This window comes from Homo sapiens, chromosome 20, assembly GCF_000001405.40.
Source record: "Homo sapiens chromosome 20, GRCh38.p14 Primary Assembly".
NCBI lineage: Eukaryota > Metazoa > Chordata > Mammalia > Primates > Hominidae > Homo > Homo sapiens.
This window is the reverse complement of record NC_000020.11, coordinates 1,612,960-1,631,701: the sequence shown is the minus strand read 5'-3', so window position 1 is coordinate 1,631,701 and position 18,742 is coordinate 1,612,960. Positions and strand designations below refer to the sequence as shown.

The following is an 18,742-nucleotide window of genomic DNA, read 5'->3' as shown; positions in this document are numbered from 1 at the left end:
TGCCAGCCCTGAGGTCCTCATTGCGAGCTGATGAGTATTCAGGCTTCAAATTTATATTTTAGAGTAAGCTTTACAGACAACTTACCAAGGTCAGTTTCTCTGTAAGGCAGACTAGAGATGGATACAGGAATGCAGGAAGCATCCTGAAGAGCTGTAGGGTCAGCATGCCTCAGGAAATGGGGAGGCAGGACTGTAGGAGGAGCGAGGTGCTGAGCTACAGTGCAGGTAGAACAAAGACCCAGCTGCTCCTGCGGAGGATCCCAAGGGCTGAGAGCGTCATGTAGTGTTTTTTAATTGAGGAGAGAAGCGTGGCCTTCCTATTTTCAATTCAGCCAATCTTTCTTGTGGGCTGTCCCCTAGAAGGAGGAGTGAACTTGGAATTGGGCAGTGCAGCTTTCCTCAAGGGAGAAGAAGTCCCAGAGAGCCACCCAGCTGAGAACTGCCGGCCTCCAACACCCCAGCAGCCACAGATGCTGAGTTCTCCATTTCTTCCTTAAGGACCCACCAGCACCATTTTATTTATTTAAAATATACTGTAATATCTTTAATGGCCCAAACTGCTCGCGTTAAAAATGTTGATTTTAAAAGCCTGAACTGCTCATGTTAAAAATGCAGCGTCCAAACATGTGCTTCCCCGTAACTGAGTGTGCCCAACTAACAGAAAGATTTCAGATGACACCTGCACTGGGGTGGAGGTGGCCTAGGTGACATCTGAGGCCCTCCCAAGCATGAGACCCATTTCCGTGACTCACCAGGATGTTTTCTAGCCGGAAGGTTTCATTATGTCCAGTGTTCCATGGCTCCTCCAAGTTCTGAGAACACGGAGTCCTCCCCTTACTTCTGGGGCTAAGCAGGGAACCTGCAACTCTCATTGTGAAGCCATCCTCAAGCCACCTGCCTACCCTTTTATAGTCATTAAAATGTCCCTAGGAATTTGGACTTGTTTTGTTCCAAAGGACATGGTCTCAGGGATCAACCTAAGGAACACTAGTGATGAGCTTCTTTAGGTTTGAATGCAAGTAACCTTGTGACCCTCCCTAAAATCCATGGGCCTCAGTTTCCCTAGCAGAATGGAATGACAATCCCTGCTCCCATAGGCTTGTGAGGGTCAAGTGAGGAACCCCGTTGCCACATGTATGAATACCTGAGTACACACCCCCTCCACCTCTTCCCTCCAGGAGAATAAGCTGGCAACCTGGGACAGGATGAGTGAGAATGGGGAGCCTCTTTCTGTGGCTTCTGCCTTGTGCTGGAGTGAAGATAGCCTGGGCAGGATGCAGGTTCAAAGGTGGGGCATAGATGGGCCCAGGCAGCCTCAGATGGGGTAAGTGGAGGCCCCTACAATGGCCTCCCAAGTGGTCTCTCTCATAGCCCCTCGTCTTCCCTGATTTCCAGGCCCGGCATCATCCCTTACTGCGCTGCTCCTCATAGCTGTCCTCCTGGGCCCCATCTACGTCCCCTGGAAGCAGAAGACCTGACTGTAAGTACAAGGAAGGGAGGACAGACCAAGGGCTGTCTCAGAAGGGCAAGGCCAACAGGAAGGCCCAGCCCACATGCCATGCAGCACCAGGGTCCGTGGAGTTAAGCTCCCTCCGCACCCTCGGAAGTCTTGGGGAACCCTTTAAAAGGCTCCCAACCCACAGAAATTATGTGGGTGGTGTACAATGTGGGATGCTTGAAATGTGTTCAAAGATGTCCACAGTGCCCTAGGAGTTTCATGGAGGCAGTGATGAGTGGGTGGTCCCTTGCAGGCTATCTGTAGATTATTTGAATGCTGGGACTCCATGGGGTCAGAGAAATCCACATTGTAAACTAATGTTGAGAAACCCAAATGGGAAGCCCTGAAGGCTGTTTGTGCTCTGACCCTCTGTGTGTCTGAGTGGAAGGAATATTGGAAAGGGCATCAGGACTTGGCAGGATGGCTGAGCAGGCAGAGTTCTATCAGGACTGCCTGTCCACCAGTGACAGGTATCCCAGGAGACCAGCCCCGAGAACATAACAGACTCTCAGGAAACATGTCTTGAAAGATGAGCAGATGACTAAGTGTGGATGTGTTTTCCTACAGCTCCTTCCTTCCTCCCCTGCCACGTGGGACCCTCATCTCTGCTGCCTCCTTCCTTTCCTGAGAGGCTCAGCTTGAGAGAATGAGCCAGTGAGAAGCTTCTCTAGACTTGGCTCCAAACATCTCCCCTCCCAAGACATCTGCCTGCCCACAGGCTCCTGTTGCTCCTTCACACAGACCTGGATGCCCCAGAGCAAGGTCTTCATTCATGGTCCTGAGCAGGTGCCATGGGATTGGGCTCTGGGCACTGACTTAACGGCACCTCCCTAGAAGGCGAGAAACATGCCAAATCTAAACACACCAGGACTCCCATCCATCGCCTTGAGACTGACCGTAAACCACAGACGCTCTCCAGGTTCTCAAGAGTTATCCTGCCTTCCAGATTCCTGCCTATCCCAACTCCCCAGCCTTGTTGAGGTTCTCTATTGCCTCTTGAATACAAATGCACTCCCAAAGTGGTTTTAAGAAAATAAAAAGATTATCCTTCCTCTTTGTCTAAGGGTCCTACTCCTCACACTCAGAAACAAAGAAGCTCTCCCTGCTCTCTCTGTGATGGGAACACTAGTTCTAGCATCCTGCAGGCTTCCCCGCCCTGCTGCTCATGGCGGAAATGCTGCCGCAGTCCAAAAGCCTCCTTGACTCCCGAATCCTCCCTGATGTCTCTTTACACCCCATATTCAATTCTGCCTTCAAAATACTTATGTCCACTCGTGAGATGGTAAGTGTTTAAAAATGGACTCTCTTAAAGGAAAAAAAAAGCTGATTTGTTGTACTTGACAATTTCTGTGGTATAATCACCCCCAACATGGCCAGTTTCAAGCTACCAGAAGTTTAACAACTGGATTGCAAAATTCCTGAAACTTAACGGTTGGCTTTCAGGGGCCAGTCCAAGCCTGCTGCAGGAGAGCACTGAGTTACATCCCTAACCTGCACACTTCTCACCTCCATCACCCCTCCCTGTCCCGGCCAGCATCATCTCTTCCGGGAACACTTCTGTAGCCTCTGTTGGCTTTCATTTTTCAGCTACAGGGATTTTTGGAAAAGTCAAATTGTATCACTCCTCTGCTTCTTCCCCAACACAGCTGCATGGCTCCCTTCATCCCTCCTTCAAGCCTCTGCTCAATGTCACTTTATTAAAGGCACCTTTGGCAAACCACCCTGTACATAATATCAATTCTCCTGTCTACCCTGGCATTCTAATTTCTCTTATCTTGATTAATTTTTATTTAGCATTTATTACCATAAGCATTATAACGAATACAGGCAGCCCTCGCTTTTCACAGCAGTGCAAGATTGCAAGAATGACTGTGCAGCCGGAAACCCAGGAAAGCAATCTCCACATCCAATCAGAAAAACAATGATCATATTGTGACCTTTACAATTTTTTGTCAAAATATAGGAAACTCTCATAGTGTCAGTTACAAATGTAGAAGGCAATAAAAAATAATAAATGAATATTTATTAGTACCCTGTAATTCAAAACATTGGAAACATCAAGTGTTTCAGTATTTTATTTCTTTGTAAAAATGTTTCAAGAGTAGTTGGAAGAGTGCTTACCTCCTTCTTGTACACTTCGGATATGGAGCAAACATCCTTTCTATCTGGGTGTTTTATCACCTTCCTCTCTAAGTTTGGATTTGTTTCCAGCACCTTATCATTTGCACTTTCAGTGTCGTGAAATCTCTGCAAAAGTTCCTTTCACGTGAAGATTTTTGCTGTTGTCACATCCTCAGGGACACCTTCGCCCTATTTGTCAGTACCCCATCCCGTATCTGTTAAATTCACCTTCTCTAAGTCCTGCGGGCTGCCTATCTGAAGTTTTTCAAACACTACCAGGGTCTACGTTGCCTCACCAGCTATTCATGCTTCTATAACTCCACTGACATACAATTTGAACTTTATCTCCAGCATTTTCACTGCTCATTTATTCACTGCATTTTCACTGTGGTTGTCCAATCTCTCTTTCAATTATTTGTTTCCCAAAAATGTCACATGGGCTCATCACCAGTTACATGAGGTTGCAGTCTTATGTGAGCCTGTGCCCCTGGCCTGTGGACTTCACAAGTGCCTCTCAGTTTTTTCCCCTATGGTGGGACAGGATGGCCAGAGGGGGCTGGAGTTGGGTGCTTGCCTTCCCCAGGTAGGTTAGGCTCTGATCAAAGCCCAGCAGATTAGGCACTGGTAAAATAGTTTCTCCTGAGAGCTGGGCTTGGTAAGAAGAAAGAATGCTCTGGTGTAGTTCAGAATGATTCGCTTTCCCCTCCACACCCCCCAGGAAGCACAAGTGAATGTTTCTCTCATATTCACTCTGAGCACCTAATCAAGCTCCTGGAGGTAAATCTCACAACAGTGTTGGAGTTCCCTGCGATTGGGTCCTGCTGGAATCTGTTCCTCAGACTGGCCCACACCAAGCCTCTAGCAATTCTTCAATTACAGTGCAGGTTTTCCTACCCTGGCACTGGTTCCCATGGAGGTTTTGGCTTCAGGAAGTTGTAATTCTCTATATCATTTTGTCTAACTTCCAGTTTTGGAGACAATGGTCTGCTCTGTGACCTCATTTCTCTGACAGACCTGAGAAGAGTTGCCATTTCTTATTTGCTCAGCTTGTTACTTGATGTTGGCCCTAGGGACTTTTTGCAGGGGACATCCAGGAGTTTTGGTTCCATCCTTAAAGGCTGCTACAGTAACAAGACCTCAAACTTTCCACACCCAGAATTACAGTCTCTGAAAATCCAAACTCAGTCCTTAGCTACAGGGCCCTGTGGATCAGGGCTGTCAACTGAGGAAGGGCCAAGGGAACCCTGGCATGAAGTGAGTGCCCCTGGGACAGAGAGCAGGCCCAGAGCAGTCAAACTGTCTCCACTACTGTCCAAGGCTCCCAGGCGTGGGAACCCCAAGGTGGATATCAGCAACTTCCCAGGGGTGGCAACTCTGCCTGCTTCCTCTTTTACTATGAGACCATGCCAGTCTCGTGGCCTTTTCCTTCCACAGCAAATTCCCTCCTCAGATATCATGGCAGGTGGGGCTTCTCCTTCCCTGCAGAGCTCAGAGGCTGGGGTCTCTCCGTGATAAACTTTCAACAGAGCAGGCAATGACCATACCTGTCTTCCAGCCCACCTGGACAACCCTTGCCTCTTTATGCTATTGGGACTCACAGGTGAGAGCAGCCTGTTCTACACAGGTGTATTTATATGTAAGTCTCCTCACCCTCTCAGCCCATCTCACCCGTATCTATGGATTTCCATTTGGGAACATTTTCTTCTCTCCCATCCCAGCAGGAGACAAGATTTGGAGTACACTTTCCGTGAGCATCTGTGCAGACTCTTACCGGGATTTGCCTTTCTTTAGTCACAGTGATTTCCCGAGGTCATGCTTGTACCATGACCCAGGTGCTAGTAATGACTTCGTGATTATAGGGCTAGACACGTGACCCACACTCATCATGTGGTGGTATCTGCACATCCCCCAGCCATTGGCCAGGGTTGTCGCACTGCATCGTAAATCCTCGAGGACAGAGAGTCTGTTTTTTAAAGGTATTACTATTGCCAAAACACCACCTAATAACAATAACATCTAACTTTTGGAGCACAATCAGCAATTATTAAGGAATTTACATATATTAATCCATTTTATGACCATAACAAACCTCTGAAGTTGATACGATTACTTCCATTTTATATTTGAGAGAACTCAAGAAACAGAGATGTTAAACAGACTCCCCTGGGTCACACAGCTAGAACTGATAGAACTAAATTCAAATCTAGAAGTTCTGATTCCTAAGCCCACAAACTTAATCTTTGCTCTCCTCAAACATCCACTGACTCCTCACTTGTCCCACAGCCTTATCTCATTATCTGCACCTTCTGTCATGAGTGCAGGGCTAAACTTGGCAGAAAGAGAATTTTAGCTCATGGTTCCCCAGGCTCCTGGTTTTCTCAGACATCCAGGCTGTATCTGTACTGCACAAAGTCAACCTAAATTTGAAACTCAATTCTCCACATGATTTCCACAAAATTTTTCACTCAAATTGTATCTATGCATCTAATAGATCTTCATTGAAGGATTGGAGTTCACAGGAAGTCATCTTGCTGCTTTAAGTAGAGATTCTGCCAGAGCATGGAAATTATTCTATCAATATTTGAGTCATATATTTCAAATCATAATTTTTGGAGGCATAATATTTTGTGACTCATCTTTCAGGTTAGTTGTTACTTTCATAAAAGGAAACATTTCTCTTTCAACCATTTGTGCTTTTTACCTTAAACTATGCTTCTTAAGATAGTATTTCTATTGCAACATTTTCAAACTATTTTGTGTTACAGCTTTTACCATTGCTATATTTATACCTATTGTCATTAATTTGTTTGGGTGTGTCTCTTGGTGCTGGGTTCTAGGAGATTGTCCCTGCATGAAGAGCCAGCTCACTAACTTACTACTCACTTATGTACAGTCAGCTACTCAATTGATACGGTTTGGATCTGTTTCCCCACCAAAATCTCATGTCAAATTGTAATCCCCAGTGTTGGAGATGGGGACTGCTAGGAAGTGATTGAATCGTGGGGGCAGGTTTCCCTCTTGGTGCTGTTCTTGTAATAGTGACTGAGTTCTGGTGAAATCTGGTTGTTTAAAAGTGTGTAACACCTCCACCCTCTCTATCCCTCATGCTCCAGCCATGTGAGATAAGTCTCCATCCACTTTGCCTTCCACCCTTACTGTAAGTTTCCTGAGGCCTCCCAGAAGCCAGGTGTATGCAAGCATCATGCTTCCTATACAGCCTGTGGAACCAGGAGCCAATTAAACCTCTTTTCTTTATAAATTACCCAGTCTCAGGTATTTCTTTTAGCTGTGTGAGAATGAACTAATACAAAAAATTGATACTGACGAGTGGGGCATTGCTATAAAGTTACCTGCAAATGTGGAAGTGGCTTTGGAACTGGATAATGAGCAGAGGTTGAATGAGTGTAGAGGGCTTAGAAGACAGGAAGATGAGCGAAAGCTGGGAATTTCCCAGAGATTTCTTGAATTGTGACCAAAATGCTGAGAGTAATATGGACCATGAAGTCCAGGCTGAGGAGGTCTCAGATGGAAATGATGAACTTCCTGGCAACTGGAGCAAAGATCGGTTTTGTTAAGTCTTGGCAAAGAGCTTGGAGGCACTGTGCCCCTGCCCTGGGGTTCTGTGAAACATTGAACTTGGGAGTGACAATTTAGAGTATCTGCTGGAAGAAATTTCTAAGCAGCAAAGCATTCAAGAAATTTCCTGAGGCGGGGCACAGTGGCTCACGTCTGTAATCCCAGCACTTTGGGAGGCCGAGGCGGGCAGATCACGAGGTTAGGAGTTTGAGACCAGTCTGGCCAATATGGTGAAACCCCATCACTACTAAAAATACAAAAAAAAAAAAAAAATTAGCCAGGTGTGGTGGTGCATGGCACACACCTGTAGTCCCAGCTATTTAGCAGGCTGAGGCAGGAGACTCACTTGAACCCGGGAGATGGAGGTTGCAGTAAGCCAAGATTGCACCACTGCACTCCAGCCTGGGTGACAGAGTAAGACTTTATATCACACACAAAAAAGAAGAAGCAGTTACCTCGCTGCTTCTAACAGCCTAATTCATATGCGTAAGCACAGAGATGACTTGAAACTGGAACTTATATTTAAAAGGGAAGCAGAGCATAAAAGCTTGGAAAATTTGCAGCCTGGACATGTGGTAGAAAAGAAAGGCCCATTTTCAGGCAACGAATTCAAGCAGGCTGTGAACTTTGCATGAGTAAAAAGAAGCCAAATGCTAATATTGAAAACACTGGGAAAAGCCTTCAAAGGCATTTCAGAGACCATCTCTTTACAGGCACAGAGGTCTAAGAGGGAAGAATGGTTTTGAGAGCCAGAACCAGGGCCTGCTGCCGTGTGCGGCCTTCGGACACGGCCCACTGCACCGCATTCACTCCAGCTCCGGTCTTGGCTCGAAGGGGCTCGAGTATATCTCGGCTGCTGCTTCAGAGGGTGCCAGCCATAAGCCCTGGTGGCTCCATGTGGTGTGAATTCTGCAGGTATGCAGAGTACAAGAGCTGAGGATTGGGAGCCTCTGCCTAGATGTCAGAGGATATATGGAAAAGTCTAGATGTCCAGGCAGAAGCCGGAGCCCTCATGAAGAACCTCTACTAGGGCAGTGCAGAAGGGAAATGTGGGGTTGGAGCCCCCACACAATTCCCACTGGGGCATTGCCTAGTGGAGCTGTGAGAAGAGGGCCACCTTCCTCCAGACCAAAGATTGATAGATCCACTAGCAGCTTGCACCATGTGCGGGGAAAAGCTGCAGGCATTCAACACCAAGTATGAGAAGAACCGTGGAATTTGAATTTTGCAAAGGCACAGAGGTGGAGCTGCTCAGGTTTTGGGAGTGCACCCCTTCCACCAGTGTGCCCTGGATGTGAGACATGGAGTCAAAGGAGATAATTTTGGAGCTTTAATGGCTGCCCTGCTGGGTTTCAGATTGCATTGCATAGGCCTGTATTCCCTTTCTTTTGGGCAATGTATCTCTTTTGAAATGGGAGTATTCCCATTCAGATGGCTAAAGCCAATGCCTATACCCCATTGTATCTTGGAAGTAACTGACTTATTTTTAATTTTACAGGCTTATAGGTGGAAGGCACTTGCCTTGTCTCAGATAAGACTTTGGACTTTTGACTTAATACTGAAATGAGTTAAGACTTTGGGGGACTTCTGGGAAGGTATGATTGTATTTGCAATGTGATAAGGACATAATATTTGAAAGTGGGCAGGAGAAAATGATAAGGTTTAGATCTGTGCCACCACCAAAATCTCATGTTGAATTGTAACCCCCAGTGTTGGAGGTAGGACCTGGTGGAAGTTGGCTGGGTCTTTGGGTCAGATTTCCCTCTTGGTGCTGTTCTCATGATGATGAGTGAGTTCTCATGAGATCTGGTGGTTTTAAAATGTGTGGCACCTCCCTACTCTCTCTCTCCCTCCTGCTCTGGTCGTGTAAATATGCTCACTTCCCCTTCACCTTTTGCCATTTTTGTAAGTTTCCTGTGACCTCCCAGAAGCTGATACCAGCATTATGCTTCCTGTAAAGCCTCTGAAACCATCAGCCAATTAAACCTCTTCTCTTTATCAATTACCCAGTCTCAGTCTCAGGTATTTCATTATAACAATTATAGAAAGAACAGATTAATACATCCACCTATTTGTTTTTTAAACAATTTAGCACTAATTATATTTTTTCAAAATTCTTCTTTTTATTACTTTTCTCAGATACCTGTTGTTACTGCACACCTACCTATTCTTGTTTCACACGTGACTTTGTTTTATGGATTTACTTTCTTTTCATTATCTCTATAAGGTTACTAAATATGTTAATGTTAAAAATATTTTCACATTTTATATTTTTATTTTCTGAGGTATTATTTTCTAAGATGTTATTTTCATTGCTGTTTTTGTTTTTTAGTTATTGTTTTTGAATTTATTATGATGTCGCTTTTCCCCAAATCTTTAGTGATTACTGCTTTCACTGTAATCTTTACAGGAATAATGCCCTGAGTGATCATGGGCTGTCAGCACTTTATGGAACATGGCACCTATCCCAACCTTGCTGTGGAGGCTGCGCCTAATTGACGTTATGGCTTCTTCTCTGCTTCCTTCCTGAGAGATATCTCTCCCTTCTTATGAGAGGTGTCATAGTGAAGGCCATGGAGTGTGACAACCTGTGTTCTAGTTCTAAAAGCTGGGTGATGTTGAACAAATGTATTATTGCCTGCGTGCCTCAAGTTTCCTCACCTATAAAAAAAGGTTAATGGTAGTGCTAATTTCATGGGACCAGAGTGATGAATTAATGAGGTAACTGACAAAATGCTTGGCACAGTACCTGGAGCACAGGACATCTGCAGTAAACACAGCAGCTACTACCCTTCATGTCATATAGAGACTAGTTTCTTGTTTTAAAGTGTAATTTGGCATCGATTAACATGATTTTATCATTTTTATATTCATTTCTGTGAGTGTGGAGCAGGAGGTGATGATTTCACCCTCTGTGCATCTGCCACATTGAAAAAGAAATTTGCATGGAAATGTGATGACTTTTACAATTTCATTTGACAATTACTCATGATAGGTGAAGGATTGCAAGCCCAGCATGGGAAAGAGAGGTTTCCAGACAGGTCTTTCTTAGTCACAGATGATGGAGGAGAAACCATTTCTCCTACCAAGGAAATTTTTCTAAAGCACAAGTATGTCAGGGAAGCAGTGAACTCACCCTGTACACAAATGTAATTATAGCCACAATTTTTTGGTTATAATTAAATATGAATCAAACCTTCTGTATGGCTTATATTACTCTTACCATATCACTACAAGGTGCATGTTATAACTTCCATTTACATGTAATTAAGTTAAGGCTTAGAGAAGTCAAGTGTCTTGTTGAAAGTCACACAGCTGGAGATTGTAAGAAAAGGAATTCATCTACAGATTGACAAAAAGCAGGGTGAAGAGGATCCAGAGGGAGAAATTGATCTCAGAGTGTCAGAGGTAGACCAAGTACACCATAAAAGCTGGGTTCCAGAAGTCCGGGGAACATGGGAGAAGGCCACTGGTGGGAAACTCAGCATGCAGTAGAAATCCATTTAAAAGCAATATTTGAGTTCCCTCTCTTCACCTGGCACCATGAGTATCAATAATAACCTACTGAATCTCAGGGATGTATAGTCATTATCTCTTTTGATGTTCACTAAAACATGGCAGTGAGACTTATTATCCCAAGGTTAGAAGGCAAAACTGAACCTAGGCAGGCCCAGTAACTTCCCCAACTCCTTAGCACATCTTCTTAGGGTATTTATTCTCCCTCCCTCCTCAGTTCCCATCTGAAGACAGTGATGAATGGAATAGGTGTTCTATGTGCAGAGCAAAGAGTATTGAAATCGATGTGACTGCTCCAGGAATCTGCCCTCCATATTCTCCCCCATAATAAACATATCCCCTTTCCATAACCCATAATCCCCACCTCACCTCACAAAGCAGATCCTTATTACCCTAAGCCCACTTCCTCTCCTGGAAGAAGTCAGGAAATAATTCCTTCTGCTGGGTGCAGGCATATGAAAGTGCTAACGGCCACATGAGACTGAATTTGGGCTAAGTTTTGCCATTTATATTTATAAAAGTTCGGAATAGGGAACCATTTCAAGAGCAGACCTGTTCCTCTCCAACACTGAGCAGGTCCAGTGATCCCTCATCCTGCCCCAACTGAGTAGCACTTGGTTGAGGCTGTTGTAGAATGAGACCACAAGCCAACCACATCCTGAGGTCTTGAGATGGAAAGTTTAGGAAACATTTCATAACCACAGGTCCTTCCTGGCTTAAGAGCACCAAATGGCAAATCACCAAGAAGACATAAAGATGGGGTTAGGAGTCATGGAAGGAGTTAAGACCTCAGGTGGGAAGGAAGCATTATTTCTGCTAAGCCTGTCTGATTCTCCTGAAATGGGGCATGCATAACTGCTTGCATTGTAGCTGCTTGCTGTTCCTGATTTCTGTTTCACAATCCAGAAGCAGGTTACTGCTTCACTCCATCGCAGCCACTTCCTCTTGAACTAAGGGAGGCAGGGCTTGTCTTCTCTCCTCAGAGCAGAGTCTGCGATCTTCCCAGCACAGACGTTTGGACAGAGCAGGCTCCTAAGGTCTCCAGAATGCCCGTGCCAGCCTCCTGGCCCCACCTTCCTAGTCCTTTCCTGCTGATGACGCTACTGCTGGGGAGACTCACAGGTGAGCACTGCCTTCGGTTAAAATCTTTTTTCCTGCCCACTGAGCCATGGCCTGTCCCTGGACTTTCAGGGATTCCGGACAATGACAAGTGCTGCCAAGAAAGGCCAAGGATTAGGCTTTGACTGAGAGCAGAAAATCAGGGAGCTGAGCACTTTCTCTGTGGATCTGCAGCTGGCTACCAGAGGCATTGAACCACAGGACGATTCAACCACCACAACAACAATTACTTACATTTTGATAATATTTCAATTGAAAAAGCAGAGAAGAATCATTATCTAAATCCTCACCAGTCCTGAGGCCCTAGGGCCAAGTGACATGCCCAAGTCCACAGAGTAAGCTCAGAGACACCCTAACAGGGTTATGTGGCTCTAGGCCCAGCCCTCTCTCTTCACCAAACTGAGGATGTGAAGTCTGTAATAGTGCTCACTTGAGTAGGGCAGTGGTGTGGTGTATCCTGGGAGTGTTCAGCCACCATCCTCCCTAAGGGTGCTCCTCACTTTGTCCTCTGTTCCCCCATGCTCCTCCCTCCCCTGTGACCTGATTCTTACCACCCATTTCTCTGTGGCCTCTTCCTCTTTAAGAAGTTCCACATTTGCTGCTTACTGGGTCCTATATTCCTTTCCTAGGGCTTCCATAACAAAGAACTGCAGGCTGGGTGGCTGAAACTACAGATATTTACTTCCTTGCAGTTAAGGAGGCTGAAGTCCAAGATCAAGGTGTCAGCAGGGTTAGTTTCTACTGAAGTCTCTCTCCTTGGCTTATACAGGGCCATTTTCTCTCTGTGTCTTAAACACATGATCTTCCTCTGTGTGTGTCTGTGTCCTCATCTCCTCTTCTTATGAGAATATCAGTCTTGTTGTATTAAGGCCCACCCCAATGACCTCATTTAACTAAATTACTTCTTAAAGACCCTGTCTCCCAAACTGTAACGTTCAGAGGTGCTGGGGATTAGAGCTTCAACACATGCATTTTGTGGGACACATTCAGCCCATAACAGGTACTACAACCTCCTTTGGTTCTCTTAAATTTCCCATGGATAATTTCTTTCCCCTTCCCAAGACAGGCAGGATTGGAGGGCCTTTCCTGGTGCAGCCTGGGAGAACCCTGCTCACAGCTCCCAGACAAGTTACCTGTCCTGATCCCTTCTCAGGCCATGGAGCTGACCCCAGAACCACAGGGCTGGGCACAGCAGCCTCTCAATTCCCCACTGGGCCCTGCTGTGATGTCACCTCACAGGCCCTAGAGGGCAGGGGTCTCACTTTTCAAATTATTTTTCTCACACATACACTGTACCCAAATGACAGCAGTAAGAGTTTAACAATTGAGCTCTTCCTACCATGTAGACACAGTTATTAGCATTTTGCCTGTTTTAGCTCCACTAATCCTCACAACATCCCTGTGTGAAAGCTGCAACTATTATCCCCTATTTCCAAACAAAGACTCAGGCAGAGGGAGGAACTTGTCCATTCATTGTCCCCTACCTCAGTCAGTGGAGCAGCTGAGATTCAAGTCCAGGTCGACCGGCTCCAAAGTTCATTCTTTTAGTCGTGTTATGCTACTAGCAGAAATATTAGAAAATGCAGGGAAGTAAACATAGAATTAATTATTGCCTACCACACTTGTTAGCAACAACCAGAGTTACAACTGTGATGTATGTACTTCTAAATTTGTTATTAATGTGTTGGATGCTTTCTATGGGCCACATATTTTACTTTCTATGGGCCAGATATTTTAATGAGATTTTAACGTGTGTTGTAATTTTATTTAATACACAAAACAAACTTATATACTATCACAATAGGTCACACTTTGATATATATTTGTGAATGTATATGTGTGTGTCTATATATACATATATATGTGTGTGTGTGTATATATACATATATGTGTGTGTATATATATTTGCAAATGTGTGTATACATATGTGTGTATACATATGTATATGCATGTATGCATATAAGTAAGTGTACATGCACACACAGGAGATTTCATTTTTTATCATTGTTTCTCCAAGTTTCTAATTTCAATGAAACTTTTAACAAAATATTTTATTTTTATTTGACAGAACTGTATATACTTATCATGTATACCATATTAATGAAATATGTGTACATTGCAGAATGCCTAATTTGAGCTAATTAACATATGACCTACCTTGTATATGTATCATTTCTGTGGTGAGATCTCTCAAAATCTGCTTTCAACAATTTTTGAGGTTACGAATTGTGTTATGAACTCTAGACCCCATATTGTACAATAGATTTGTGGAACTAATTTCTCCTAACTAAACTGAAATTTTGTATCCTTTGACCAATATCTCTCCAAATGCACCCCCTGCCTAGTGCCTGGTAACCAATATTCTACTATCTACTTCTATGAGTTCAACTTTTTAAAATTCCACATATGAGAGACATTATGCAGTATTGTCTTTCTGTGCCTGGCTTATTTTACTTAGCATAATATCTTCCAGGATCATTTATATTGTTGGAAATGATAGGATTTCCTTCTTTGGTCAGGCTGATTAGAATTCCATTGTGTATACCAATTTCCTTTCTCCATTTATCTGCTGATGGACATCTAGGTTAATTTAATATCCTGGCTATTGTAAATAATGCTGCAATGGACATGGGAGCACAGATATCTCTGTGACATGCTTATGTCATTTCCTTTGGATGTATGCCCAATAGTGAGATTGCCAGATCATATGATAGTTCTATTTTTAATTTTTTGAGGAGCCTCCATACTGTTTTTGCTAATGGCTCTACTAATTTACATTCCCACTAACTATGTGCAAGAATTCCCTTTTCTCCACATCCTCTCCAAAACTAGTTATCATCTTTTTTATAGTAGCCATTCTAACAAGTGTGAGATGATAGCTCACTGTGGTTTTAATTTGCATTTACCAGATGAATAGTAAGGCTGAGTATTTTTATAGGTCTGATGGCCATTTTAATGTCTTCTTTTGAGAAATGGGTTTTAAGATCTTTGGCCCATATTTTAGTTGGGTTGTTTTCTTAATATTGAGTTGTTTCACTTCCTTATATATTTTGTATATTGACTTTTCATTAGATGCATGGCTAGCAAATATCTTCTTCCATTCTGCTGGTTGTCTTTTCACTCTGTTGATTGTTTCCTTGGCTGTGTAGAAGCTTTTTAGTTTGTTGTAATGCCGTTTGTCTATTTTTCTTTTGTTGCCTGTGCTTTGGGACTCATATCTGAAAATTCATTGCCCACACCAATGTCATGGCACTTTTCTTCCAGTACTTTTACACTTTTAGATCCTACACTTAAGTCTTTAATACATTTTGAATTGATTTTTGTGTGTCATGTGAGAGGAAGGTCTAATTTTATTCCTCTACAGATGGATATCCAGGTTTCCCAATGCCACTTTTTGAAGAGACTGACCTTTCCCAATTGTGTCTGCTTGACATTTTTGTCAAAGGTCAATTGAGTGTAAATGTGTGCGTTTATATCTGGGCTCTCTGGTCTGATCCATTTGTCTATGTGTCTATTTTTATGCCAGTGCCATGCTGTTTTGATTACTATGGCACGGTAGTCAAGTTTGAAATCAGGCAATGTGATGCCTCCAGTCTTTTTGCTCAAGATTGCCTTTTCTACTCACAATTTTCTATGACTAATGTGAACTTGAGGATTGTTTTGTCCATTTCTGAGGAAAATGTCATTGAAATATTACTAATAATGAATTGAATCTGTAGATCTCTTTGGGTAGTATGTATATTTTTAACAAAAGTAATTATCTAATCCACAAGCATGGATATCTTTCCATTATTTTTGTTCTATTTATTTTTCATCAGGGTGTTATAGCTTTTTTTGTGGAGGTCTTTCATGTCCTTGAGTAAATCTGTTTCTAGCTATTTTAGCTTTTTTGGTAGTAATTGTAAATGCGATTACCTTACTGATTTCTTTTTTCAATAAAGTCATAATAATGACAGTAATCAATATACATGATAAATAGGTAAATAAAATCATAAATTAGCCACTGATAAGGGAAAATAAAATAAGGTATGTGTATATAACTTTTATCTTATAGAAATTTTCATATATTCCTATTATTGATGGTATTTTCACAAAAAGATGTCCACATTTCTCAAATGCTGTTTTGCATCAAATGAGATAATCATGTGTTTCTTCTCTTTCTTCTATAAATATGGTGTATTACATTCTTTGTCATTTGTATATTGAAACATTCTTGTGTTCCAGGAATAAATACCACTTGCTCATTGTGTATATTCCTTCTAATATGCTGCTGAACTCAGCTAGTGTTTGGTTGAGGATTATTGCATCAACAAACCGAGTAATAATAATGCCAACTGTTAACAGAAAGGTGTGCAGCTCTACCTGGCAGTGATCTTAGTTTTGTATTTTCATGGAAGTTTAGATTCCAGTGGGCTCCATTTCAGATAAGCAGAGTCTGGCTTTGGGACAATTTATGGTTAAAGAGTACGACAGGAAAGTATGCTCCCCAGATCTGGACTCTAAGCCAGGAGAGCCCAATAGATAACCAGAAATTTCTTGTTGTAATGGAGTATAGCAAAAGCTGAGAGGGGCATTATATTTGCATCAAAGGCCCTGGGGAAAATGTCTGGCCATCATGAGTGGTTTAGAGACTCCAAGAGGCATGAAAGACACAGCCAAAGTCTCTACAGAGAAGAGATACTTTTATTTGTTAATTCATTTAAAGACACTAACAGGAGGGCCTGTTGATTTTAATTTGTAAGTAAAATTTGTAAATGAAGAATATGTTGCCACAAGCACCCCAGAAAAAACTTACTGATGCTGGATTATGTGACATTAATATGCATATCACATGAATCTTCTTTGAAGAGGTGTTACCAATGTTATATCATCTTGTGCTCTTGAAGAAAGGCAGATGTCATTATTGATATTGGAACAGGATCCTCGCTTCAGGATGGAGAGCCATGGCAGCACTCCAAAAGGCAACACAAAGCTGTACATAGCATAGCACAAGAAAGTCATCAGGGTGAAAAGCCTTCTCAAATTGTGGAGCCAATCAGAGTAGCAAATCAGTAAGTCATGAGTCAAAGGCATTCCCTAGGAACTTTCCACCTGAGTTTAGAATGATCCCATCCTCATTGCCATTACTATTGAAAATGTTAGAGTGATTCCTGCTGGTTGAATTTTGAGGATCACTCTAACATGGCCATGAAAAGTTCATATGAAGAGGCATACTCACAGTTCCTAGAGAAGGAAGTAGGGCAGGCCATGCAGGAAGCCATGTGGGAGGAGCTCCCAAGGAGCAGGCTCAATCAAGCAGATGGGTAGGCAAGAGAGATGGGATCCCTGGGCAAGTGCCTTTACTGGGAGTCAAGGTGGAGGACACAAGCAAAAACCATGATGGGTTTTACTAGGGTGTTTCAATGTCACTAGGTCACAGTAGAGGAGGACAAGAAGAGGAATTGTGGCAGGGACCAGCTTTAAAATACTGGTTACCTGGTCACCTGGGCAGGGTGCTCACAGCTTGTTTGTGGGATATTGAAGCATGATTTTTAAAACATGTACACATAACTGGATATCTTTATTTCTTCATACAACTTTGAGTTGCCATGTAGCATCCTTTCATTTCCACCTGAAGCACTCCCTTTAGCATTTCTTGTAGGCAAGGTTTAATGGTCATGAACTCTGTTAGCTTTTGTTTATCTGAGAATATCGTAATTTCTCCCTTGTATTTGAAGGACACTTTGCCAGGTATAGAATTCATGATTGACATATTTTTCCTCTTTCAACATTTTGAACTTACCATCCCTCTATCTTCTGGCCTTCAGTGCTTTGTATAAGAGCTGAGCTGAAAATCTTATTGAGGGTCTCTTTTATGTAAGGAATCACTTCTGTCTTGCTGCTTTAAGGATTCTCTCTTTGACTTTAGTTTTCAACAGTTGGGTTATAATGTGTCTTAGTGTGGGTCTCTGAGTTTATTTTTGAGTTCAACTTGCATTTCTTCTGTGTCTTAATAGGTAGATTCCTGTATTTTATCTAGTCTGTGAAGGTTTTTGTCCACTATGTCTTCAAATAATCTTCTATTCCTTTCTCTCTTTCTCTTTTTTCCCCCTGGAACTCCAGTAAGGTGTATGTTGATACATTTGATAACGTCTCACAATTCCCTTAGATTCTGTGCTCTATACTTTATTCTATTTTCCACCAATACCTCAGTCTCAATAATTTCAATTATACCATCTTCCAGTTTTCTGATTATTCTTCCACCTGCTTATACCCACTGGGGGACCCCTCTAGTGAACTTTTAGTTATTGTACTTTCAATTCCTAAGTTTCTGTTTGATTTCTTCCTATAATTTCTCTTTCTTTACATTCTCATTTTGTTAAGACATTTATATTCCTTTAGTTCTTGGTCCGTTATTTCCTTTACCTCTCAGCATTTTTAAGGCAGTGATTTTAATATCTGGGTCTAGTATCAGGGTGGAGCTAATACATCACAAGTGTGCTTATAAGAAGGAGGAAGGAGATTAATTCTTGGAGAATGACGTTGAAACATCCCTGTATTCCAGGATGTTTGCATGTGAAGATGCAAGAGGTTAGAGTGGTGGGAAGATGTAACTGTGAGAAAGGAATGTGAGAAAACTCTAGAATTTGAAAAGGCAAAAAACAGAGCCTCCAGAAGACACATAGCTCTGCTGAAAGCTCTTTAAAAATTGTGGAAATTGAAGGTGTAAAACATGATGCTTTCATATACGTACACATATACATATACGTAGTGAAATGATTATTAAAGTTAAGCAAATGGACACATCCATCATCTCCCATAGTTATGCTGCATGTGTTGTATGTCAACAGCACCTAAAATGTGCTTTTTAAGCAAAAATACAGAATTCAATACAACATTATTAACTAGAATCCTCAGATTGCACATTCAATC

The 18,742-nt window shown here is 42.6% G+C and overlaps 2 protein-coding genes across 10 annotated transcripts in view; both read left to right on the top strand.

Annotated features, from left to right (window-relative positions):
* The window catches only part of SIRPG (signal regulatory protein gamma), a 57,304-nt gene extending 54,754 nt beyond the window's left edge, over positions 1-2,550 (top strand). For all 5 annotated transcript variants that reach the window (XM_011529286.3, NM_080816.3, XM_005260749.5 and 2 more), the window contains 2 exons: positions 1,396-1,480; positions 2,066-2,550. In XM_011529286.3, the coding sequence (XP_011527588.1) occupies positions 1,396-1,478 (83 nt within the window). In that variant the 3' untranslated portion in view covers positions 1,479-1,480; positions 2,066-2,550. The remainder of the gene's footprint in view (positions 1-1,395; positions 1,481-2,065) is intronic.
* A 9,142-nt stretch (positions 2,551-11,692) lies between these two features.
* The window catches only part of SIRPB1 (signal regulatory protein beta 1), a 58,625-nt gene continuing 51,575 nt past the window's right edge, over positions 11,693-18,742 (top strand). For all 5 annotated transcript variants that reach the window (XR_007067441.1, NM_001083910.4, NM_006065.5 and 2 more), the window contains exon 1: positions 11,693-11,833. Coding sequence is in view for 4 of the 5 variants with exons in the window: in NM_001083910.4 (NP_001077379.1) it covers positions 11,758-11,833 (76 nt within the window). In the remaining variant the exon portion in view is untranslated. The remainder of the gene's footprint in view (positions 11,834-18,742) is intronic.